Source organism: Homo sapiens, chromosome 16 (assembly GCF_000001405.40).
Source record: "Homo sapiens chromosome 16, GRCh38.p14 Primary Assembly".
Classification (NCBI taxonomy): Eukaryota; Metazoa; Chordata; class Mammalia; order Primates; family Hominidae; genus Homo; species Homo sapiens.
The window spans coordinates 82,646,093-82,668,341 of NC_000016.10; the positions used below are offsets into that span (position 1 = coordinate 82,646,093).

Here is a 22,249-nt window from a genome sequence, read left to right on the forward strand (position 1 = left end):
AACTTCAGGTTGTCCCTGACTGATAACCAAAGGATGTGCCATCAACCATTTGGGCCTTGTTTGCAAGCTTTGAATAATTTTTCTGGTGCTTTAAACACATTATTGTTAGTATTTTGAGACGGAGTCTCGCTCTTTCACCCAGGCTGAAGTGCAGTGGCGTGATCTCGGCTCACTGCAACCTCCATCTCCAGAGTTCAAGCGATTCTCGTGCCTCAGCCTCCCAAGTAGCCAGGATTGCAGGTGCCTGCCATCAGGCCCAGCTAATTTTTTTTTGTATTTTTCATTGAGATGGGGTTTGACCATGTTGGCCAGGCTGATTTCAAACTCCTGACCTCAAGTGATCTGCTCGCCTCGACCTCCCAAAGTGCTAGGATTACAGACATGAGTCACCGCGCCTGGCCTAAGCACATGACTTTTAATTTACTGGTGCTGCATGGTCTGTGAAAAGTGGGTCAAAGAAATGGGAAGTGATGGGAGGAGAGGTCACAGGAGGCCAAGGTTGTAATATGGTTAGAAGCCATTTCTTACCTGTCTTCTATGAAGTGTGGGTTGTGAGCGATGCTTTCATTCAAACCTATGAGGTGCATCTTGTCATCATCCCCATCTACAGATGAGAAAACTGAGTCAGAGGAAGAGTTAGGTATGTCAGTAGCAGGCATGGGCAAAGGAAGGAGAAAGTAATGATCAAGATGATAGAGGGAGAATTGCAATTAAGCCAGAGAGAGGAAGGATGATGTTATAAGCTCGAGGGAAGCCTGAGTCCAGATCTGAAGCAGATATACTCACAGCACGTTCAGGGGGTAATGAAGAGGCTGTTATGGGTGACTATGAATGTGAAGGCAACGTGAGATTGGATCAGAGTTAGAAAGATGACAGTTGTTAATAGCATCAGTGTTATTTTAGCCAAAGGACTTTACTATTGCTGTAGTGCAGTGCCTCGCAGTACACCATGACAGTTAAGAGCCCAGGCCTCGAGGGAAGGTTACAGTTTGAAGCCCAGCTCTGCCACTGTAGGGCTGTGTGACCATGGGCAAGTTGCTTAACCTCTGTGCCTCAGTTACCAGATCTATGAAATGTCGGCAGTGAAACCTAGCTGATATGACTGGGATGGGGATTCCAGAGAACCTTGTAAACACTTGGTCCAGCAAATAATATGGCCTCAGAAAATAGAAGCTGGATGTGTTTACGTACATGAGGAAATGGACAGATAGGACTTAACAGACCATGGTTGTGAGTGACTTGGCTGTAAGTGTCACAGTCTCAGTTTGAGTTTCCTCAAAAGCGGATGCTGTGAGGAGGATTTGAGTGCAATAAATTCTCTTGGGAGGTGGTCCAAGGGGAAGTGTAGAGGAGTGGGAAAGTGAGGCAAGGAAGGAAAAGGAAACAGACGAGGGGTCTGTTACTCAGGCAGGTACTGCTCTGGGTGTCTGGAGCTTAACTCCCCTGGGAACCTTTGAGAATCAGTGTGGAATACCTGCTTCCAAGCCATCCCACCTGAGGGGCATGGGAGCTCCAGATTTTATGCCACAAATCTGGTTGGCATTGATTCAAAGCTGCCCCAGGGGGCACTGATTTTGAGACTACTGGACTACTCCAGCCTCAGAGAAAGCAGTCAGTGAAGAGGTGTAGATATTTGCAGTTGGAAGTTGAGCCAGCCCTGTAATGGAAAAGCCAGAAGAGACAGGAGCTTGGGGTTGGGTGGTGAGCTGTCTGTCAGTGTCTAATGTGGTAAGTATCTGATATGGTTTGGCTGTGTCCCTGCCCAAATCTCATCTTGAATTATAGCTCCCATAGTCCCCATGTGTCATGGGAGGGACCCTGTCGGGGGTAACTGAAGCTTAGGGGCAGGTTTTCCCTGTGCCGTTTTCATGGTAGTGAATAAGTCTCACGAGATCTGAGGGTTTCATAAGGGGCAGTTCCCCTGCACATGCTCTCTTGCCTGCTGCCATGTGAGACATGCCTTTACTCCTCCTTCGTCTTCCACTGTGATTGTGAGGCCTCCTCAGCCATGTGGAACTGTGTGTCCATTAAAACTCTTTTTCTTTATAAATTACCCAGTCTTGGGTATTTCATCATAGCAGTTTGAAAATGGACTAATACAGTATCCAAAGGCATAAAAATAGTCATGCACTTTGGGGAAGTAATACACATCTGAGAAGTTAAACAGAGGTAAATACAGGAAAATATGTACAAAATACATTATATTAAATGATATATGAATATTGTATATGTTTTATGCATTGTATGTGAAATAGTAATAATAGCCAACGCTTAGGAAGTAGTTGCCACATGCCTGACTCTCCTAAATGCTCTGCAAATAGGTTAGATTTCCAGCAAATGAAAACAGGTTAGGCAGCTCAATAGAATATTACATAACCATTAAAGAGGATGGTTATAAAGATGATGATAATGGCATGGAAAAATCATATGAATGAGAATTGAATACTAAACAGGAGATTGTGTGTGCAGTAGGATTCCTACAAAGCAAAACAAGCCTCTAAATAAAGAAAAAGAAGGGTGGAATCTGAAAGGAATTTATCAAAATCCTAACTGCAATTTTGTTCATGCGTTGGGATTCAGAGTTGTTTTTTCCCCTCTGGTTTACAAGTCTCCATTGATACACTTGCGTTACATCTATAATGAAAAATACAAGAAACTTGAAAAAGTACAAGAAGAAAAAACCTTCTAAAAAATAGGTGGTAAGACCCAGTGAAAGTTTTAAAGAAGGGAATAACATAATGGAAAATGTATTTCAGAAAAATTAATCTGGGGGCAGTGTGGAAGATGGATTGAATCAGGAAACACCCAAGGTGAGAAGTCCAGCTTGAAAGCTTGTATGAGTTACTGGGAGTATGGAAAAGAAAGAGCCAATTTTAGATGGTTGATCATGAATGAGATGATGGGGAAGAAAGAGAAAAGTGCCAGAAATGATTCCAACATTTTAAAGCATTTTGAATGGAAGAAAATAAGCAATGGAACTAATATAAATATAGTTAGAGAGTGAGCGCGCACCGGCTTTCTTTACATTTGTTGCTTGTTTAAACCTAACAGCAATCCTATATGCTATGCTTTTAATATTCCTATTTTACAAATGACATAATAGAAGATTAGAGAAATAAAGCCACTTATCCAAGGTCACACAGGGTCCAAACTCAGATTATTGTGAAATGAACTGGCTAGATAGAAGGATAGATGATGGATGGAAGGATGAATGCATAGATGGAGGATGGATGGATGGATGATGGATGGATACATTGATAACTATATGAAGGGGAAGGAATCTGGTGAATTGTAATGTTATAGTGGAAAATAGGGCATTTCAAGAAGGAAGTGGCAGATAGTCTTAGGCAGTGAAGAAGGAAGGGAACAGAGAAAGCACTAGATTCAACAAAAAGAACCAGTCACTGGTCCTCTTTGAGAAGGTCCTTCCAGTTAAATAATGGAAAGTGGGCTTAAGCAGCATGGGGGACTGAAGGGCCAGGACATGTTGGGGAACCTGTGAAATGGCTAGTCAGAGCATGGCATGTATGAGCTTAAAACCAGATCTGAACCTAAGGAAGAGATCCAACAATAGGAAGGAGAGGGGATGTAAGAGAGAAAAATGATGGGGAAGGGAGAGGAGGGTAAGAAGACATGGAAAAATGGAAAGGAAAGAAATTACTGGTTAAGAACAAGGACACCAGACTGCCTGGGTTTGAGTCTCAACTCCGCTGCCCTGTAACCTTGAGCAAACCCCATAACTGTCTCTGCTTCCGACCCCTCATCTGTTGAATGGGAAAAGAGTAATAAGCTCTATATCCTGGGGTTCCTGAGAGGAGGAATTGAAGCATGTAACATGCTTAAGACAGTGCCCGGTGTGCTGTAAGTTGAAACTGTGTAGGGATCCTGTTGCCTTAGTCATCACAACAAGGACCATTTCCTGGGCAACAACCCAAAGCTATAGATTAAGAAACTGAGGCTCAGTCACTTAAAGAATGTTCTCTGAGAAAGTACACTTGGAGCCTCAACATTGCTCTACCTGCAAGTAGTTACCTCTCCTGTCTTCCAGGGAGAAATAGATTTTGTGTAAAATAGGATGCATGGCTTTGTTAGTGGAAACTAACCTTCAGCAATTGTAATAAATGAGGTACGTGAGGTTGCATTTTTTTCTCCTTTTTGAAAAAAGAGTTAATAAACAGAGGCTGTTCAATAAAGCAGAGTTAGAAGGAGTTTAGGAAGCACTGGAGAGTGGCTGAGGAGCAAGGTAGTGAGGACTTGGAGGACCTGGAGAAGGCAGATGAGATCCATCAGATCCCAGAAAGCTCCATCAACTCAGTGCCCTTTCTCTATTCCAGAAAGTCTTATGCTCATATCATTGATGCTTGGAGAAGCCTGCACACCACAGACTTGGCATGAGAAGTCCTAAAAGCCTCATTAACCCAACCACTTAGGCTTTCTGAGTGCAACCCCTACCCTATTCTATTTGGGCTCAGGGTTTGCTGGGCCCCAAAATGTCCCGCTGTTGGGATGAGGAGATTCAGTTAATACCTTTCTTTGGTTGGCTCTCCTCCCACATCCCCCTACCTCTCTAGCCTTGGTTTCCAGAAAACTGTATCTGTGCTCAGCCTGCTCCCTCCTGCCCTTGGTGATCATGAAACCTGCCAAAGAAGCATTCTCTCTGAGGCTGAGCCACTGGAGAAGTTGCACATCCAGGATTGATTTTGCATAGTGTAGAAATCAATCCGGTGAACCTGGCAGCATAGGTATCCTCTAAGTTTGGTTGTAAGCCCAGTGGGGCAGGGCAGTAAACAGTTTAAATTGGAAAGTTAAAACAATAAACAGGAGAGACAGGTGAAGTTGGGGTTTGAAATTTGCTGGGCTAGAATGGGTTTTCTCTTTCTGTGTTAATCTTATCTGGCAGCTAATCTTTACCTGTCATGTGGTTTTTGGGGGAGAAAACGGTACCCTCTTTAGACTGCTTCCTTTTCTGGGAGGAGAACCCTGAGAAAGACTATCAGTTTGAAGTTGTCCCTCCTGGGATAGAAATTTATCTAATTTTAGTGGGTGGCAAGACTATGAACAACCATCATTATCTGTGCTCCAATAATTATTAATTTAATGACATTTTAACAAATAAGAAATAACTTTTATTGAGCACTGTCTACATATCAGGCACCCAGCTAAGTACTTTCACATGTGATGTCTAATTAAAGCTTCTGAATATGATTAACTTCATTTTATAGCTGAGGAGTCTACAGCCTATAGGGCACACACACATATACCATCTTCATTGATCTTCACCCAACCATCAGAAGCCTGGGAAAGACATTTTGCAGTTAAGAAAAGTGAATCTCAGGGACTTGTCTTCTTCAGCAAACAATTGGCAGAACCACGGTTTGAATCCAGGTCTTCTGACTCCATATTACTTTGATTTTATTGGGAGAGTATATGGGTGGCGTATCTTCTTAAATTCCTCTGGCCAGGTCCTGAGAAAAGCATTTACTGTGCATTGTCTCAACACTTGTAATAACCCTATTAGGGAGGTGGTGTTTTTCCACTTTACAGTGAGGAGACTGAGGCTTAGAGAGGGTAGGTACGCCATTGGAACAAAGCCACTCAGGCAGTTGTAGGAAGTACAGCTGGGGCTTATACCTTCCCATTCTACCCTCCAGGTTTTCCCTGCTATAAGCATTTCTTACAGCAGTGCCTTCAATAGGAGAAACAATGACAAGTGATTTTTCCAGTGGGACAGCAAGAAGGTGATTGTGGTCTTGGACCTTGGGATTTAGGACGGGCTATTGACATTAACAGTTGGATAGGCTGCTAGGTCAGTCCAGGGAAAAGCAGGAGGGAAGATAAGACATGACTGAGAATTCAGGAAGGGCCAGCGCCATCCAATCAGAACAAGTTGGAGCTTTTCGTCTTCTTTAAGCCTACTAGTTTCACTTCTCATTTTGAAAGAAACAACTTGCTCGGCCAACCTATTGTTGCTGCCTTTCTCTGCCTACCACAGCTATGAAAGCAAAGTTATTGGAACATGTGAACGTCACTAGCATCCGAGGCAAGATTTAGGTTCTGAAAAGAGGTCATCAGATTGTAGAGTTGGATCTCCATTTCCCTGGAGAGTCTTGTGCTTCAGAAAATCATTATTGGTTTGTCATCCTAGCCTGTCATGGTGGAACCCCTGGGCTCTGAAAGATTACAGGAAAATAGCTGGTCCTTGGCAGTTCTCAGAAGGTTCTGTTTCTCACCTGGGCCAGGATTGTGCCTGTGGTTTTTGTTCATGACAAGATGAGAAGAGCTTGGTTAAATAAGGAACGACCTCTCGTTATATATCTTCTATCCTGATTGATTGCATCAGAAAAGCCATTCATCTGGTTTGAAGATAGACAGGTGGTTGCTGTCACTGCACCAGCAGCTTTTGAAGTTTGCTCAGTGATATGATTACAGCCCATACTTAAGCTTCTGCTCCAGGAAGTGAGATTGACCTTTGATCCTACTCCTCATTTAAAAATTACAGATCTTGGAAAATGAACCAATCTAGAAAGATATTGGAAGCTGCTGCTGCTGCTGCTGCTGCTGCTGCTGAGGTTGGCTGTCAAACCAACTTAACTGGCCTGCATTACCTAGAATTGTTTTTTTTTTTTTTTTTCTGGTTAAAACCAATGACCTTTAAAGCCTTTTTATTTTTCCTCTGACAATCTCTAGTGGACCTATGGTCTTTTGTGAGTTCTGATGGGAATCCCAGAATCTTTCTGTAACTGTGGGTTCCAATGAGAGAGGCACATTTAACAAAGACCAGAAGAAAATCAAAACTGTTGCTCAAACTGACAGTGTATGTTCTTCATCCCACTCCTTCATTAGCTCATTCATTCATTGATTCGTTCATTCATGTGCTGGCTCTTTGTAGAAGTTGGGGGTAAACAGGCGACCAAAAGGTAGTCCGTGACCCCAGGATGTTGTAATTCAGAAGGGTAAACAGACAAGGCAGTCAACATTGTCCATTCAGTGTGAATGAGCTTGGGAGTACAACCACTTTGGAAACCCATTTTGTTAATTTACCTTTGATAGATACTTATTGAACGGTTTTTCCAAGTGTCTGTGAAGAAGACATGGTGGTGGTAGGGGGTGGGTGGATGGTTTCTGAGGACCTGATAATGTTTCTCCTTGATTTTAGTGCCAGTTACGTGGCAACTCATGGAAAACATTGAGCTGAATACTTGGGCTTTTGCACCTTTTTGTAGTGCCTTAGTGTATTTTACACAAAAAAATAAATAAAAGTATGCTCAGCCTCAGGTGTGTTGGAAATACAGAGGAGAGACCAGCCCAACTTTGGAGGAGAACAGAGAGAGGGACCCAGGAAGGCCTTCTGGGGAATATATTTGACTTGGGCCCTGAAGGAGCAACAGAAATTAGGCACTGAGTAAAATGGGACTGGATGTACCTGCACAAAGCCAGCAGCAGAAGAAAAGACATGGAGTGGAGGGAGCTGGCAGTTCATGCTTGGGGGAAGCTGAGAGTTGCTTGTGGGGCTGGAGGCCAAGGTGCAGGGCTGCAGGGGTAGGAGGGAGCAGCCAGGGAGGGGGTGGATTGGTTAAGAAACACGATGTGCATGTCATGTTGAGAAACTTGGATTTCACCCTGGAGGCGCAGGAACTAGGGGGGATTTTTCAGCAGCAGTGACAGACGCTCTTAAATCTGGGTTTTCCAATGATCAGCATGCTTGTGCCTGCACCGGGGCGCAGGATGGGAGACAGATGCCTTTTGCAGTAGTTCCGGAGAAGAAGACTGAAGACCACATTCAAGGCCCTGAGAGAGAAGAGAAGGGGACAGATACCACAGAGATCATGAGATATAGCACAACAGATAAGACTTGCTAATTAACTGTACGGGGTTACAGGGAGGGACAGGGAGAAATCAGGTTTCTTCCAGCCCAGCTTCTGGTTGGAATCACTCAGGCAGAGACACATGGGCCTGAGAGAGGATTCCCCTTATGACATAAAGCCGCAAAAATTCTCATTAGTCATTGCAAAAACATCTATTTCCGGCCTACACTGCACCAGCCAGTGGGGGAGGTCCTGAGAGATAGAGAAAGGATGAATTCTTGCCCTTAGAGAGTCACCTAGAGATTCTGGGGAGACAGCAGGTCCGAGTCTCTCTGCCTGAAACCTCTGGACAGTGTCTTTGGCTGACACTTACATGGTGGTCTTGGTTTCTTATTCAAGGTCGGTTTCCCAACTCTCATAGCATCAGCTTTAGGGCATCCCCAAATCTCTTGCAGAAGAGATGGTTCTTTCCCCTTGAGTTGTTTTGAGCCAAGCATATAACATTGTGTGAATGTTTGAAAACTTCTCTTGGTTCTCAGAATGCAATTCTGACAGTGCTGAAGGCTGCCAATTAAATGAAGATTTAGATAAAGGCTGTGTGGGAGGTGGAATGCAATATTCTTAAACCTAATAATGGCTTCCTTCTGTCTTTTTGAAGCTCTCAAATAATCCTGATTGACTGACTCTCTGCTTTGGGCATTCCCATTTTCTGGACAATTTAATACCATTTAAAATGTTTGACAACTTTTATTTGGGGGCAGACATCCTTAGGGGATGGGGCCGTGGGCAAAGATACAAATGCTGTACCATCAAAGGAACCATGGATTTAAATAAGGATTTTTTTTTTTTTCATATTCAGAAGAGGTGGGTACAGAAAGGATGAGGGCAGCTTCTCAGGTTATAGTATTAACCACGTGAAGCAGCTAACAAAGGTATGTGCCTGGCCTTGTGCTAAAGGCTTTCCTCGTATCAGTTCTTTCATCCCTCCCAACACTACTGAGGTAGATGGAGTGACTAGATCCATTATACAGGCAAAGTAGCTGAGGCCCACAGCCATAGCAAATAAACTGTGGAGCTGGTGGTCCCAGATTTCATGCTTTTAGTCATTCTCTTGGCTCTGGGGTACAGGTAAGCTTCCAGAACTGGAGGATGGAGTCCAAAAGAAACTCAAGATAATTTCCCTGCCTTTCCCATTGTATCAGGGGATTCATCTGTTCATACATTCATTCATTTTCCCAACACATTTACTGAATGCCCGCAAGCACCAGGAAAATAGCAATGGGCACAACCAGGTTCCTATCTTCATGGAGCTATTGCTTTATTGGCAGAGGCAAACAGTAAAGAAAATTCATTAGTAATCAGTGTTGCAATCAATGAGCCGGTCAATCAAGCACCATAAAAGGGTAAAGTGTGACGAAGGTGCTCCTTGTGATAGGGGTTGGGGGTGAGGGGAGGTGTCCTGGAGAGGAGACATTTCAACTGAGATCTCTCTGAAGTAGATGAGATGGCCATGTGGATCTCAAAAGGAAAGTGTATGCCAGGAAGAGCAAAAAGCAAGTGCAAAGTCCTAAAGCAGGAAATAGTGAGGCTACCGCAGTGTCGGGTCCAAGAGTAGGAGATGAGATCAGGGAGGCAGATTAGGCTGCAGGGAGGGTGTGCGTGTGATGCTGAGAGTGATGGGAAACCACTGGTGGGGTTGGGGGAGGGCAAGGCAGTGACATCATTTGTTTTTATGTGCAGCAGAGGAAGCCAAAGCAATTCAGAAGAAGCCTACAGAAGCTTACCTCCTCCACAGGCTATTTTTTTCTTGTTTACATTTGTTAATTTTACATATATATTAACTCAGTCCTCACAACCACCAAATGAAATAGGCATTGCCCTTATTATCATTCTTTCCCATTTTAACAATGGGGAAACTGAAGCTTAGAGTAGGCAAGGTCGCCCAGATAGGAAGCAATGCCTTCGGGTCATGGCTCACTACTCAAGTGCCTGAAATTTCAGCTAGCCTTTAGTGGGCACCTGCTATGTGCCAGGATCTGTATGAGGTTTGGCACCACCTAGACAGCCCCTTGAACCAGTGGCATGTCTCAGGACAGTGTGAGAGACAGAAACTTCAGCTGAGAGTTACCGTGCAAGGCAGAAAATGCTGGTCTAGCAAAAGGAACTCTGATTTCGATTTGGAAGTACAGAGAAAGAGCATCTGCCTTGGACAGAGTTATCAGTGAAAAGATGACATATGAGCTGAGACTGAAAATCATGTTGAAGATAGTCAAACAAAAGCTGGCAGTGTGGGAGTGGGGGCTTCAAGCAGAGAATCAGTGGTTCAAAGGCACAGGGTAGAAGGAGAATGGCAGCTGGCTCAGTGTGGCTGGAGAAAGAGGCTGGAGTGCACCTGGTTGCATTTGAATGGTGTGCGTGTGTGTGTGTGTGTGTGTGTGTTAATGATGGTGATGAGATGAGGGGCTAGAGAGGAAGACAGGTTGGCACCTGGTAGCATTTTTTAAAAAGCAAGTAAACCTTATTTTTTAGAGCAGGTTTAAGTTCACAGCAAAATTTGGTGGAAGGTACAGAAGTTTCCCAAGTACCTCCTATCCCCACAAATGCACAGCCTTGTCCCACTATCAACATCCCACATCAGAATGGTACATTTGTTACAGTCAATGACTCTACATTGACACATCATTATCACTCAAAGTTCACAGTTTACATGAGGGTTCACTCTTGGTGCTGTACGGTGTATGGTGGATACATGACAAATGTGTAAATTCATGTATCCACCATTATGATATCACACAGAATAGTTGTACAGCCCTAAAATACTTGCTCTGCCTATTTGCCTACCCACTCCCTTCTCCCTAACCCCTGGCAATCCACCGATCTTTCTTCTATTTCCATAGCTTTGCCTTTCCCAGAATGTCATATGGTTGGAATAATATAGTATGTAGCCTTTTCAAATTAGCTTCCTTCACTTGGTAACATGCATTGAAGTTTCCTCCATGTTTTCTTATGGTTTGGTAGCTCTTTTTTTTTTTTTTTTTTAGCATTGAATAATATTTCATTGTCTGGATGTATCACAGTTTATCCATTGACCTACTTAAGGATATCTTGGTTGCTTCTAAGTTTTGGTGATTACAAATAAAGCTGCTATAAACATTTGTGTTTCCTCATATAGATCTTGTATATATACAGTAGTTCCCCAGTTTTCATGGGGAATAAGTTCCCAGACACCCAATGGATGCCTGAAACTATGGATTGTACCAAGCCCTACATACATTATGTTTTTTTCCTGTACATACCTGTGATAAAGTTTAATTTATAAATGAGGCACAGTAAGAGATGAACAACAATTGCTCCATAAAATGGAACAATTATGACAATATGTTGTAATAAAAGTTACATGCATGTGGGCTGTCTCTCTCAAAATCTGTTGTAGCGCACTCACCCTTCTCTTTTAATCTGTCAGTCTGATAACCAAGATGGTTACTGAGTGACTAATGGATGATGGGTAAGATAGACAGGATGGATACACTGAAGAAAATGATAATTCACATTCCCGGCAGGATGGAGTGGGATGACAGAAGATTTCATCATGCAACTCAGAACAGCATGTAATTTAAAACTTATGAATTATTTTTGGAATTTTTCTATTTAATATTTTCAGACTGTGATTGACCACAGTTGAGTAAAACTGTAGAAAGCAAACCTTGGAGAAAGAGAGACTACTGTATTTTGTACATTTCATGTACACAGTTTGCTAGATTTATATGTAAATATTCCAATTTGGGGAGGGTAATGTAAATTGTATTGTGTTTTAAATTCCTGATTTCATTCATTCATTGCTGGTACATAGGAAAGTGATTGGCTTTTTTACATTAACCTCGTATCTTGTAATCTTGGCATAATTACTTATTCTTGGAGTTTGTCAATTTTTTTGGATTTCTTACATAGATAATCATTTTATCTGCAAACTAAGTTTTGTTTCTTACTTTCCAATCACTATACCTTTGTTTTCTTTTCTTATCTTACTGCATTAGCTAGGACTTCCAGGACGATGTTGAAAAACAATGGTAAGAGGGCACATCCTTGCCTTGCTACTGATCTTATCAGGAAAGCTAGTTTCCTACCATGAAGTGTGATGTTAGTTGTAGGCTTTTTGTAGTTGTTCTTTATTAAGTTGAAGAAGTTTCTGTCTGTTACTAGTTTGTTGAGAGTTATTATGAGTATTGATTTTGCCAAGTGCTTTTTCTGCATCTATTGATATGTGCATGTGATATCTATTGATATGTGCATATGAGCCTCCTGGTCATCATCCCAGGCTTAGCTCACAAAAGTTGTGAGCAGGGAGGCCACCAGGAATGTGGGGCAGGTATTATGCTTCCCATTTTACAGAAAGTAATGCCAGAAGAAAACAGTGCACAGTTACTGCTGGTTCCCAATAGTTGATTTGACTCCTTTAAAGATTTAGCTGTCCCATTTATGTGCTGGATAACATCAATTGATTCTTAAATGTTCAACAAGCCTTGCATACCTGTGATAAATCCCATCATGGTTACATTTTAATATACTTACTTTTCTTCATACCTGTCTCAAGAGAGAAAGTAGCTCAGTGGTTAAGACTGGAGTCAGGCTGCCTGGGTATAAATTGCACCTCCGTTGCTTATTAGCTGTATGAACTTGGGCAAGATATTTAATCTCTCTGTGCCTCAGTTTTCACATCTGTAAAATTATGTCAAATAGTACTGATCTCCAAGGGTGGTTGCGTGGGTTAAATTATACCTAAAGAACTTAGCACCCCACTCAGCACATGGTGGCTGCCATGATGGTTTGCCGTGACCTCTCTTCATTTGAATGTGTGCCCAGTGTCTTGTTTCTCTCTGTATTCTCAGTGCCTGGTACAAAGTCGATAGATTTTAAAAGCCCATAGAAGAAAACATACATTTTTCCCTGTTTGTGGGTATGTATGGAAGATTCTGTAACTTTGACTAGACACTTGATATTCAGATAAAATAGCCCTAAAGAAGGTTCTCAAGGGGGTGGATTTTCTCAGACTATTGTGAGCATAGTTCCTAAAGCTGACTCTATGTCTTGTGCTGACTCTAATCCCCTCCTGGCCATCATCCCAGGCTTAGCTCACAAAAGCTGTGAGCAGGGAGGCCACCAGGGATGTGGGGCAGGTAATATGCTTCCCATTATACAGAAAGTAATGCCAGAAGAAAACAGTGCACAGTTGCTGCTGGTTCCCAATAGTTGATTTGACTCCTTTAAAGATTTAGCACCTGAGTTAGAATCCGGATGGCAGAACTTCTCTATTGGAACCTAGTCCCACTATTCCTCTCTCCCTTCATTCAACACTGGGTTTAGAATGCTTGCCAGCAGCATTGTGGAAATTACCTCAAAGGTAGAAACACGTAACTCATAAGCACACATGAATAGGTATAGGTCATAATCCTGGAAAGACGGCCTTGCCATTGAGAGGGGAATAGCAGGAGCAAGGCTACGGAAGCACGGGACTCTGGTTGAGTCTAGGCACTGTCTGCATGTACTTGGCACATTCCTTAAAAATGGCAGCAAGCAGTCCATTCTCAAATGGAAATTGGAACAAAAAATAACGTAAAACCATAAATAACAGAAAAGAATATATACTCAAACATGTATAATCCATATGCATGAACATAACTCCCCTATTGGGAATTTCTCATAAAGAATCCCCCCAAAATATAATACCACGTCCACAAGAACCCACCCACAGGCCAGGTACTGTGCGAGGCACTGGAATACAATGGGGGTAACATGGACTAGGAGACTCATGAAAACGTCATGACAAACACCTGGGAAATTCTGAACGTTAAATAGTAGGGAAGGGTTTCTCCACCATGGCATGGTGGCCACTTTGGGCAGGAAGATTGTGGTGAGGCTATCCTGTGCATGGCAGGATGTCCAGAAGCATCCCTGGCCTCTACCCACTAGAGGCCATTGGAAGCCCCATCCTCACTGTGAAATCCAAAAATGTCTCCAGACATTGTCAAGTGTCTCCTGGAGGGAAAGGGGGGAAAGTGACTCCCCATTGAGAACCACTGCTTTAGGGGAATACTTAAGAAGTTGAGGCATATCTGCTCACTGGAAAATGGAAATGAGCTAATTTGGAGGCTTAAAACAGCAGCACTGGGAAAATGACATAAATTTTAAAAAGCAGAAAGTAATACTGCATTTATTCTGTGGTTTGGCTGAGGTTTTGGGTTTCAGAGGAAGCTGCTGAGAAAAGAGAGGGAGGGAAAATGTGACCCAGAAATCACGGGAACCAGGGAATCTCAACAAATTGAGTATCTTGGTTTGTGTAAGATTAGGAACCTGGAGATAAATATGGGTCAGGCAGATGCAAGTAAAATGATCACACGTGGGGAGCATGGAAATTGGGTCTTAAAAGTGAGTTAAGTCAAGGGTGGTATTTAAAATATGTCATATGTAAATATGACAGAGAAACCACCAATCAAAACAGCCATCTGCTGAAACCACCCACTATGGGCGTTCCTGTGCCTGCCGGGGCGTGCGGGGAAACCCAAGAGGGAGCACCAGTTGGTGAACGTCAGTCAATCCACAAACCATCTAACAGAGGCACAGGGATTAAATTCAGAGCAAGACCTGGCAAAACAGAAACAGCCCGAGGCCAGAGATGAAGTGAAAGAAAGATGACAACCTAGGGCCCAGGAGGGAAGCTTCCAGAAGGTTGAGTTATATTTAAGCCCTTTCACTGTATACCTGGGACCAAAGACCCTAGAGCAGCTTCAGACATAAATTATGTATATACATGAACAAAGACAGAAAGGGAGCAAAGAAAAATGAAAACAGCTTGATTTGTAGGGCTTTCAGCATGGCGGGTGGTTTTCTTTCCCCCCTCGTTTTATTTAGACGTCTGCTGCTGCTGCTTCAATTTTGTTCCGGCAATACAAGTAAAATATATGTGGATGTTAACAAAGATGTAAAGAGCCTTTTGAAGTATATAACTGATTATAATTTAACATTCATTAAGTTTCTTTTATCAAAAAAAAAAAACTATTAAGTTCATTGAAGAAGTCATAAAAACAAACCAAACACCCACCACCTTCTCCCCTCCTGGGGACATGGCAGTGGCCACTTCAAAGTGGGTCAGGTCTCCGTGAAGGAAAGGGGCTCTTGAGAGAGTGATGGTGGCCCAGGGGCCGGTGTGATGTTTCATGCTGGAGGGATACAGCTGTCCGTTTCCTTTGCCTCTTTTCATCCTGATGGAGCAAACGGCTCATTGTTTACGCTGACCTAGTGAGGTTGGCTTCAAGCTCTCCCCTCACCATGTTGTAATGAGATAGTCCTGAGGACACACGCTCTGTCCATTGAAACAGATTAGCTCTGATCACAGCTTAATTATGTGAAGTACAGCCAAACCCTATTTATGCTTTTCCTAGGGATGGGGTGGAACAGATAGGAACGGGTAATTGACAGACATTAAGAAATAGACTTAAATATTGTTTGTCCTGCTTTAGTACGCACGATATTAATGAGATGTTATTGTGAGTGCTGAGTAAAGAGGTTGCTGCCGGCTGGTTCTCATGCCAGGCAGCCAGCAGACCTTCTTCCCAAGCAGGGAATTAGCGCAGGTGTTCCCTTGGTGAAAGCCTGGCTATCAGCATCAACACCTTCTAGAAGATCCGTGCCTCTTGGTTTATTTCAGGGAGCCTGTGCAACTCCAAAAGGATGGATGCTGGATGCATATGGAGGTTCCATGCCTTAAGGCTAGCTTACAAATGTATGAACTCGTCTGTCTTTTATTCCATCAGAAATGAATGTACATTGTAGGAACCAGACTTAGCAGAGAACACGGAGTATTGGGGGAAACCTCAATTAGGGAATAAAGAGCTAGTACACACACAGATGTGTGTCACATCAGACTATGTAATGGACACAATTTAGGAACAACTAAGGTATGTCCTGTAATTAGGGGACTTGTTAAATCTGCACTGTCTAATATAGTAGCCACTAGTTACATGTGACTGTTTACATTTCATTTAATCAAATTAAAGAAAATTGAAAATTCAGTGTCTTGATCACAGGAGAGGAATTTTAAGGGCTCCTTTGTCACAGGCGGCTAGTGGTTCTCATGTGCAGATGTAGGACATCCCCGCCATCACAGAGGGATTTGCTGGACACCACTGAGTCAAATAAATGGTAGTATGTCCATAGAATGGAGTATTCTCCATATTCTCAATGAAGTAAATGCAGATATTCTGGCATAGAAAGGTCACCCTTGTGTATTGCCAGGTAAACAAGTTACAAAACTTTATGATATTAATTTCACTTAAAAAACAGATGCAACACACAGGCACATACTTTTTGGATAAGAGTGCAAAAAACACAGAAAGGATGCACACCAAATTGTCGGCATTAGTTACCTTGAGGAGGCGGGGGTAGATGTTTACTTTTTATTTTCTTCACATGTGTATTGTCTGAACATATTTCAATGAGCATGTGTTACTGTTGTAATTAAAAAGAGATTTATGTGATGAAAACTGATGAAAATGATTGAGAAACATGAACAGAGGGTTTTCTCTTTGCCTCTTTAGAGACTGGTTAATGGTGCTACCTGAGTGAGATTGACCAGATGGCTTGTTGGGAGAAGAAGGGAGCTGGTTTGGAGTAAATCCATCCCCACCACTATCAGGTCTTGCCCAGGCATACCCTGCTTTTCCTGAATGTCCTGAATGTTGTTGTAGGACAACAAATGCGCTTTATAATTATTCATAGGACCTCTCACTACTAATCTTTGAGTCGATAACAGCTTCTGCTATAGAAGGGGGCAGATCACTGGGCTTAAATGTCAAATAGCGCCTGAGAGGCTTAAACAACCACCAGTATGTGTCCCTCTGGGAGGGCTTCTCTGCCATTTAGAAGATCAATGAGAAGATGTCCTCCAGGCCAGTGTGAGGTGGTAGAGGTGTGTGCTTGCGTGGGCATGCCTGTGTGTCTGGTACCCTTACCCACTGAAACAGCAAAGGACATGCCTTCTCCCATATGACAAATCGGTACATTGATGATTTCGAGTTAAAAACATTGGATAAATTGCAGTTTCAGAAAGGGCTAGCTGACTTGTCTCTTCCTACATGTAGCAGGCCAGAAAGATTCCTCTCTGGGAGGGGCATCCTCCCCCTGCCAGGGCAAGAAAATAGCCCTTATCGCCAGAGACTGCGGATTGCAGGCTGCAGTGGGCTTGAATAAATACCCTTACTGAAGTGGCCCTTAGCCTCCACTAGGTTTTTTGTTTGTTTGTTTGTTTGTTTTGAGAGGGAGTTTCGCTGTTGTTGCCCTGGCTGGAGTGCAATGGCGCGATCTCGGCTCACCGCAACCTCTGCCTCCTAGGTTCAAGCGATTCTCTTGCCTCAGCCTCTGGAGTAGCTGGGATTACAGGCATGCAGCACCAGGCCCGGCTAATTTTGTATTTTTAGTATAGATGGGTTTCTCCATGTTGTTCAGGCTGGTCTTGAACTCCCGACCTCAGATAATCCACACGCCTCGGCCTCCCAAAATGCTGGGATTACAGGCATGAGCCACCATGCCCAGCCACCGCCACTCATTTTACACAGTCCCCTGTATGTCTCCTAGTGACTCCCCTAGAAATTCACTGACCCTAGCCAGATCCCATTTGTCCTGTCTTTGTCAGATTTATCATTCTTTGTCTAAAAAGTTCAAAAGCATCTTGCTTTGGCCGCTTCTTCAGACATCACTCTCTTGTGAAGATCCCTTGTACCTGGAAAACTATTAAGATCCGTATGCTTTTTTCCTGTTGATCTGGTTGTCTGATTCGTGTCCATTTGGTTTCTAGGTCCAGCCAAAGAGCCCACATAAGAACCAAGGTGGGGTTGGGGGTGATCTCTGGTCCCCTTTGTGATCCTCTTCTAGGAGATTTACCTCTCTGCTAGCTTACATACTATGTGAATATAGCGTGGGCTTTCTTCTTGCTCTTCAGAAAGTCTTCTCTACCCTCCCTCCTCCTACCATGGCGCATTCTGCAGCATGACAGGCATTCCACTCTGAGGTGTGAGCCATGTGGGCTCTCAGGACTCTTTTGGCTCCACTTCTGCCTTTGTAGCTGTGGACCACGAGGCAGTGACTTTGAAATTCAGTCTTATTCTGCGGAAATATTACTTACTCGTCCCTACCTCATAGGGTGGTTTTTCGAAGTCAGTGAGACAAGGACAGTGAAGGGTTGAGGCAGTGCTCAGCACATAGTAAGCGCTAAATAAATGTTAGCTTTTGTTGAAATTAATCTTACTTTTCACTAAATTGTGCTGCAAAGCAACGTGCCATTGCCTGTTCTTCACATGGCTGTGTCTCTCCTCCTCAGATGGATGGAGTAGGAGGGTTGTTGGAAGACAAAAGCATCCTGCTTCACTCTTGTCTCTCCAGGCTCCTGACAGTGATTTGCACTAGCTGATTAGTAAATTCATGGCAGTGCCTGGTGCCTGAGAGAGCGAGGGTTGGGTGCAGCTTGGCTACAGCTCTGAACACAGCAGTGGGGGCTCAGTTGCTTGGAAAAGCTGCCAGCCAGTGAGCCCAGCACAGTCAGAGTCCTGTCAATGCAGTAGGTGGGTAAAATAAGACACCAGTGTGCCTTTGAAGCATGACTTTCTGAGGGAGAAGGCTGGGAGCCTTTACATTTGATGACTGGGAGAAAGGACCCAAGTTTTTCCTGTGTGTTTCCTTAAAACAGCCTTATTCTCTAGATGTGATTTGTTTTCTGTTTTATTTTCAAAGAGAAGAAAATCTTGTTAATACTTGCTTATTAACTAACAATTTCACTTTACTGGTTTGGTATGTAAAACTGAGGGTTTTCTTCTACCCAGTGGCAGTTTTTGATATGAAACAGTAACAACAACATCAACGTAACTTGTATTTTTGAATATATTTGATACAGATATTGGTTAAAAGCATTTTGTACATATATATTCTTACATATTTGTGGGTATGTATGAATACATGTATATATGCATATATATGTGTGTGTGTAATTGATTCTCATTATTCATGAATTCTGTCTTTGTGAATTTGCCTACTCAGTAAAATGTATCTGTAGCTCCCAAATCAGTGGTCATGGTAGTGTTGTGGTCACTTGCAGACATATACAGAGCTGTGACAAATTTGAATCATATGATGTATATGCTTCCAGGTGCATTCAAACTAGGTGAGACTGCCTTCTTGTTTTAGCTTTCATACTACAAACAAATATCCTTTTCATGAACCATTTAATGCCACATTTGCCACAATTTTATGCTATTTCTTGGCAATTTTGCTGTCAAAATGGCCCCAAGTGGACTGCAGAGTGCTCTCTAGTGTCTCTAAGTGCAAGAAGGCTGTGATGTGTCTGACTGAGAAAATGCATGTGTTAGATAAGCTTTGTTCCAGCATGAGTTACAGTGCTGCTGGCTGTGATAAATTTTAAGTAAGGCATCTTTAAACCGAGGCGCACGTAAAACAAGGTTATATATTGACTAGTTGACTGAACTGTGACCAGAGGCTCACAGGAACCTAACCCTGCATTTCTACTAGGAGCAATGGTTCAATATATGTTAAGTATTCATGGTGACTTCATAGAACATAAGTACCATAAATAAGAGAATCAATTGTATGCAGACACTCCTTGATTTATGATGAGATTTTATCCTGATAAACCATCCTACATCAAAAAGGCGGCTGCATGCCTACCTCAAACATCACAGGTACTCTGCTTCACCTTCCTCAACTATGTCATGCCTCAACTCTGCTTGGACTCTGCCCAACTCCAGACAGGGACAATGTGACAGTAGCCAGCTCCTCTCTGAACTGACACCCTGTAAATTGGACCTACTGAACAGCAATAGTTTAGCCTAACCTACTTTATATGTGCTTAGAGCACTTGCGTTAGCCTACAGGAGGGCAAAATCATTGAATACAAAGCCCATTTTATAATGAAGTGTTGACTGTCTCATATAAGAGTATTGTACCACATATTTCTGGACCAGGAAAAGATCAAAATTCAAAATCTGAAAAATGGTTTCAATGGAGTAAGTATTTCTTTTGTACCATTGTAAAGTTGAAAAACTGTTGTCTAGTCATTCTAAGTCAGGGAATATCTGTGTATAAATCGTGTAAAATCCTCCCAGAACCTTTATGAGAGGGTGTGGACTGTGATTCTTAAGTTAATGGCATCCCTCTCTGCCTATAACGATCTCACGTCTGTTTTTTTGCCAAAAAATATAGCTGCTGGGGAACCTGTTCAGGGAAGTTGGGATGTGTTTATCCTTAGGTGTTTATTCATCTTTCCAAGCTCCTGCAATCAACCAGAAACACAGGGGAATGGAAGGCTTAGTGTTTGTTGTACCAATTATGCCACAGGCAGTATCTTGTGTATTTTAAGTAACAGCACTGCTTTGGTAAGGCAGTTGATCCTACTTTCAAAGGCAAGGTACCTGAATCATGGACAATGAGGCCACCATCAGCCCTCCCTCTCCAATCAATGGATGACCATACACTGTGCTTGTTCCTTCCACATGGAGACCCATACTTGAATACTTGGTGGGTACCTTGAGCTAACCTCTCACTTTGTGTGGAATAGGCAGTGGGCTATAAGGGGAAAGCACACACTTTGAAGCCAGACTCACTTGCATTGGAATCTGGGATGTCTGACATAACAACAACTACTACTATTTTTTTGGCCATTTACTATAACCTAGTCGTAGGTTAACCATACAACAACCATGGTAACTGAGGCACGAAGAACATCTTTCTTATTTGTGGTGCATATCACAATGTAAAGGTAGTCCTGTTGATACACCCATTTTTAGAAATGTTAAATGGTGTGCTCAAGGTCACACAGATGGAAGCTGGTGAATCCAGAATTTAAAAGTAGAACATTTAATCCCAGAGCCAGCCTGCCTTCCCACCATCCAAACGATGCTATGCCACATCTTGAAGAATCAGAACCACCTTGTCAAGATGGGTGACAATTACAACAGAGAAATGATGTAAAATGCAGTGTGTAGTTTCTGCCCCTGAGATGAGTTCAGGAATGGGTCCAGTTCCTGTTCTTAAACACGCTTTGCCCTACTGCTTGCAAGCCAACTCGGAGCCTTCTGATGTTTCTCTCCAAACTGACAAAGGAATCAGCTGTTCCTTCTAGAGGGGGAATACTTTGACTTGTGTCTTCAGAAGTTATCTGATGCCAGCTTATTCACATCGCCTCACCTCCTAGCAGCTGGAGCAGGAATGCAGCAGTAGGGTATTGAAATTTAAGAGGTTGGCCTTGAGTCACTGACTTAGCTGGGTATCCCATAAAGCAGAGAGCTTATACATTTCTATCGTATTAGGGAGACAATTCCAGAGAGTGAGAGTGAAGGAAGAGGGGATTGAGGCAGGTAAGGAGGGGAGGCTTGCGAAGGCGCGTACTGAGCTGGCCATCCCCAAGTGCAACTGATTGAGAGGTTTGTAGAGCTTTGTCCCTGAGAAGCCTGCCTCACCAGGATGTGGTGTGGGGAGATGAAATAATTCCTCCACTCATTCCCATCTGCTATTGGCCATATGTTGGCTCAAGGGGCGTTCCTTTCCTTGCACCGTAGGATTGTGCATGTATGATGGGGCTCCTCTACCGAGTTAAGAAGGAAGCCCTTGGCAAGGGCGGAGAGGCTCTCAGTTCAGAGAGGAGTTGTCTGATGTCACGTTGCCCCTATCTGAAGTTGGACAGAGCCCAGGCAGAGCTGAGATGTGACGTGAGTGAGGAAGGCGAAGCAGTGCACCCATGATGTTTGGTGCAGTCTTGAAAGCGCAGTCACTATGGAGCCGCCCCCCGCCTCTCCCCTTCTGAGCCGCCACAGCTCACGCTTGCTTTCTATGTCCTGAGCTTTTCTGTACCTCTGTCTTGCTATGTCAGGCATTCATGGCTGTGCTGTTAGGGAGCCTTTTCAATCTTCTCATGCTCCAGTTTCAAAGCTGTCTCAAAATGAGATAAGTTAAAGCCTAATACAGTTTTTTAGAAACACCTGTATTTGTCACGCTGACCTAATATTAACACAGGTTCTCGTCTCTACTTGAATGTTACGCATCTATCGCGACACCATTACCAGGACTGCGCTCTGAATCTTTAGAGATTATCTGTGTGCCTGATGTCATGAATACCAAGTAGATGATGTAGGATGGCTATACCCTGCCAGGGAGACCTGCCTGGGGTACCAGTGAGTTTACAAAGACTTGCAGGAGGCAGCATACAGACCATGGGCTTGTAGCTTTCCAGTTCAACTACACCACCAAACCCTGGCACCTAAGACTTTGGTTGTTCCCCGTGTCCTATGAGCCCTGATCACAAGGTGAGCAATGCCTTCTAGGCTGGGAAGGCAGAGTTGGCAAGAACTGCCAACCCCAGGGATGGCATCAGGCCCGCTGATAATTAA

At 43.3% G+C, this 22,249-nt stretch overlaps 1 protein-coding gene across 8 annotated transcripts in view, besides 7 other annotated features; it reads left to right on the forward strand.

Annotated features, from left to right (window-relative positions):
• CDH13 (cadherin 13) overlaps positions 1 to 22,249 on the forward strand; it is a 1,173,672-nt gene that overhangs the window by 19,124 nt on the left and 1,132,299 nt on the right. The window lies entirely within an intron of this gene.
• Positions 7,388 to 8,587: an enhancer, noted in NCBI's record as "P300/CBP strongly-dependent group 1 enhancer chr16:82687085-82688284 (GRCh37/hg19 assembly coordinates)". NCBI's record gives its function as "activates an origin of replication core promoter dependent on BRD2, BRD4, P300/CBP, MED14 and CDK7 cofactors, with strong dependence on P300/CBP, by STARR-seq in HCT116 cells {active_cell/tissue: HCT116}" and the evidence as "EXISTENCE:reporter gene assay evidence [ECO:0000049][PMID:35650434]".
• Positions 7,508 to 8,007: an enhancer, noted in NCBI's record as "H3K27ac hESC enhancer chr16:82687205-82687704 (GRCh37/hg19 assembly coordinates)". NCBI's record gives its function as "activates a minimal SCP1, AML or CMV promoter by ChIP-STARR-seq in naive and primed H9 embryonic stem cells {active_cell/tissue: H9 hESC(naive and primed)}" and the evidence as "EXISTENCE:reporter gene assay evidence [ECO:0000049][PMID:30033119]".
• Positions 7,829 to 8,038: an enhancer, noted in NCBI's record as "active region_11227". NCBI's record gives its function as "activates an Ori minimal core promoter by ATAC-STARR-seq in GM12878 lymphoblastoid cells {active_cell/tissue: GM12878}" and the evidence as "EXISTENCE:reporter gene assay evidence [ECO:0000049][PMID:35858748]".
• Positions 8,089 to 8,138: an enhancer, noted in NCBI's record as "active region_11228". NCBI's record gives its function as "activates an Ori minimal core promoter by ATAC-STARR-seq in GM12878 lymphoblastoid cells {active_cell/tissue: GM12878}" and the evidence as "EXISTENCE:reporter gene assay evidence [ECO:0000049][PMID:35858748]".
• Positions 8,379 to 8,428: an enhancer, noted in NCBI's record as "active region_11229". NCBI's record gives its function as "activates an Ori minimal core promoter by ATAC-STARR-seq in GM12878 lymphoblastoid cells {active_cell/tissue: GM12878}" and the evidence as "EXISTENCE:reporter gene assay evidence [ECO:0000049][PMID:35858748]".
• Positions 9,332 to 9,626: a silencer, noted in NCBI's record as "tiled region #6595; K562 Repressive non-DNase unmatched - State 24:Quies". NCBI's record gives its function as "represses a minimal TATA promoter and a strong SV40 promoter by Sharpr-MPRA in K562 cells {active_cell/tissue: K562}" and the evidence as "EXISTENCE:reporter gene assay evidence [ECO:0000049][PMID:27701403]".
• Positions 9,561 to 9,610: a silencer, noted in NCBI's record as "silent region_7766". NCBI's record gives its function as "represses an Ori minimal core promoter by ATAC-STARR-seq in GM12878 lymphoblastoid cells {active_cell/tissue: GM12878}" and the evidence as "EXISTENCE:reporter gene assay evidence [ECO:0000049][PMID:35858748]".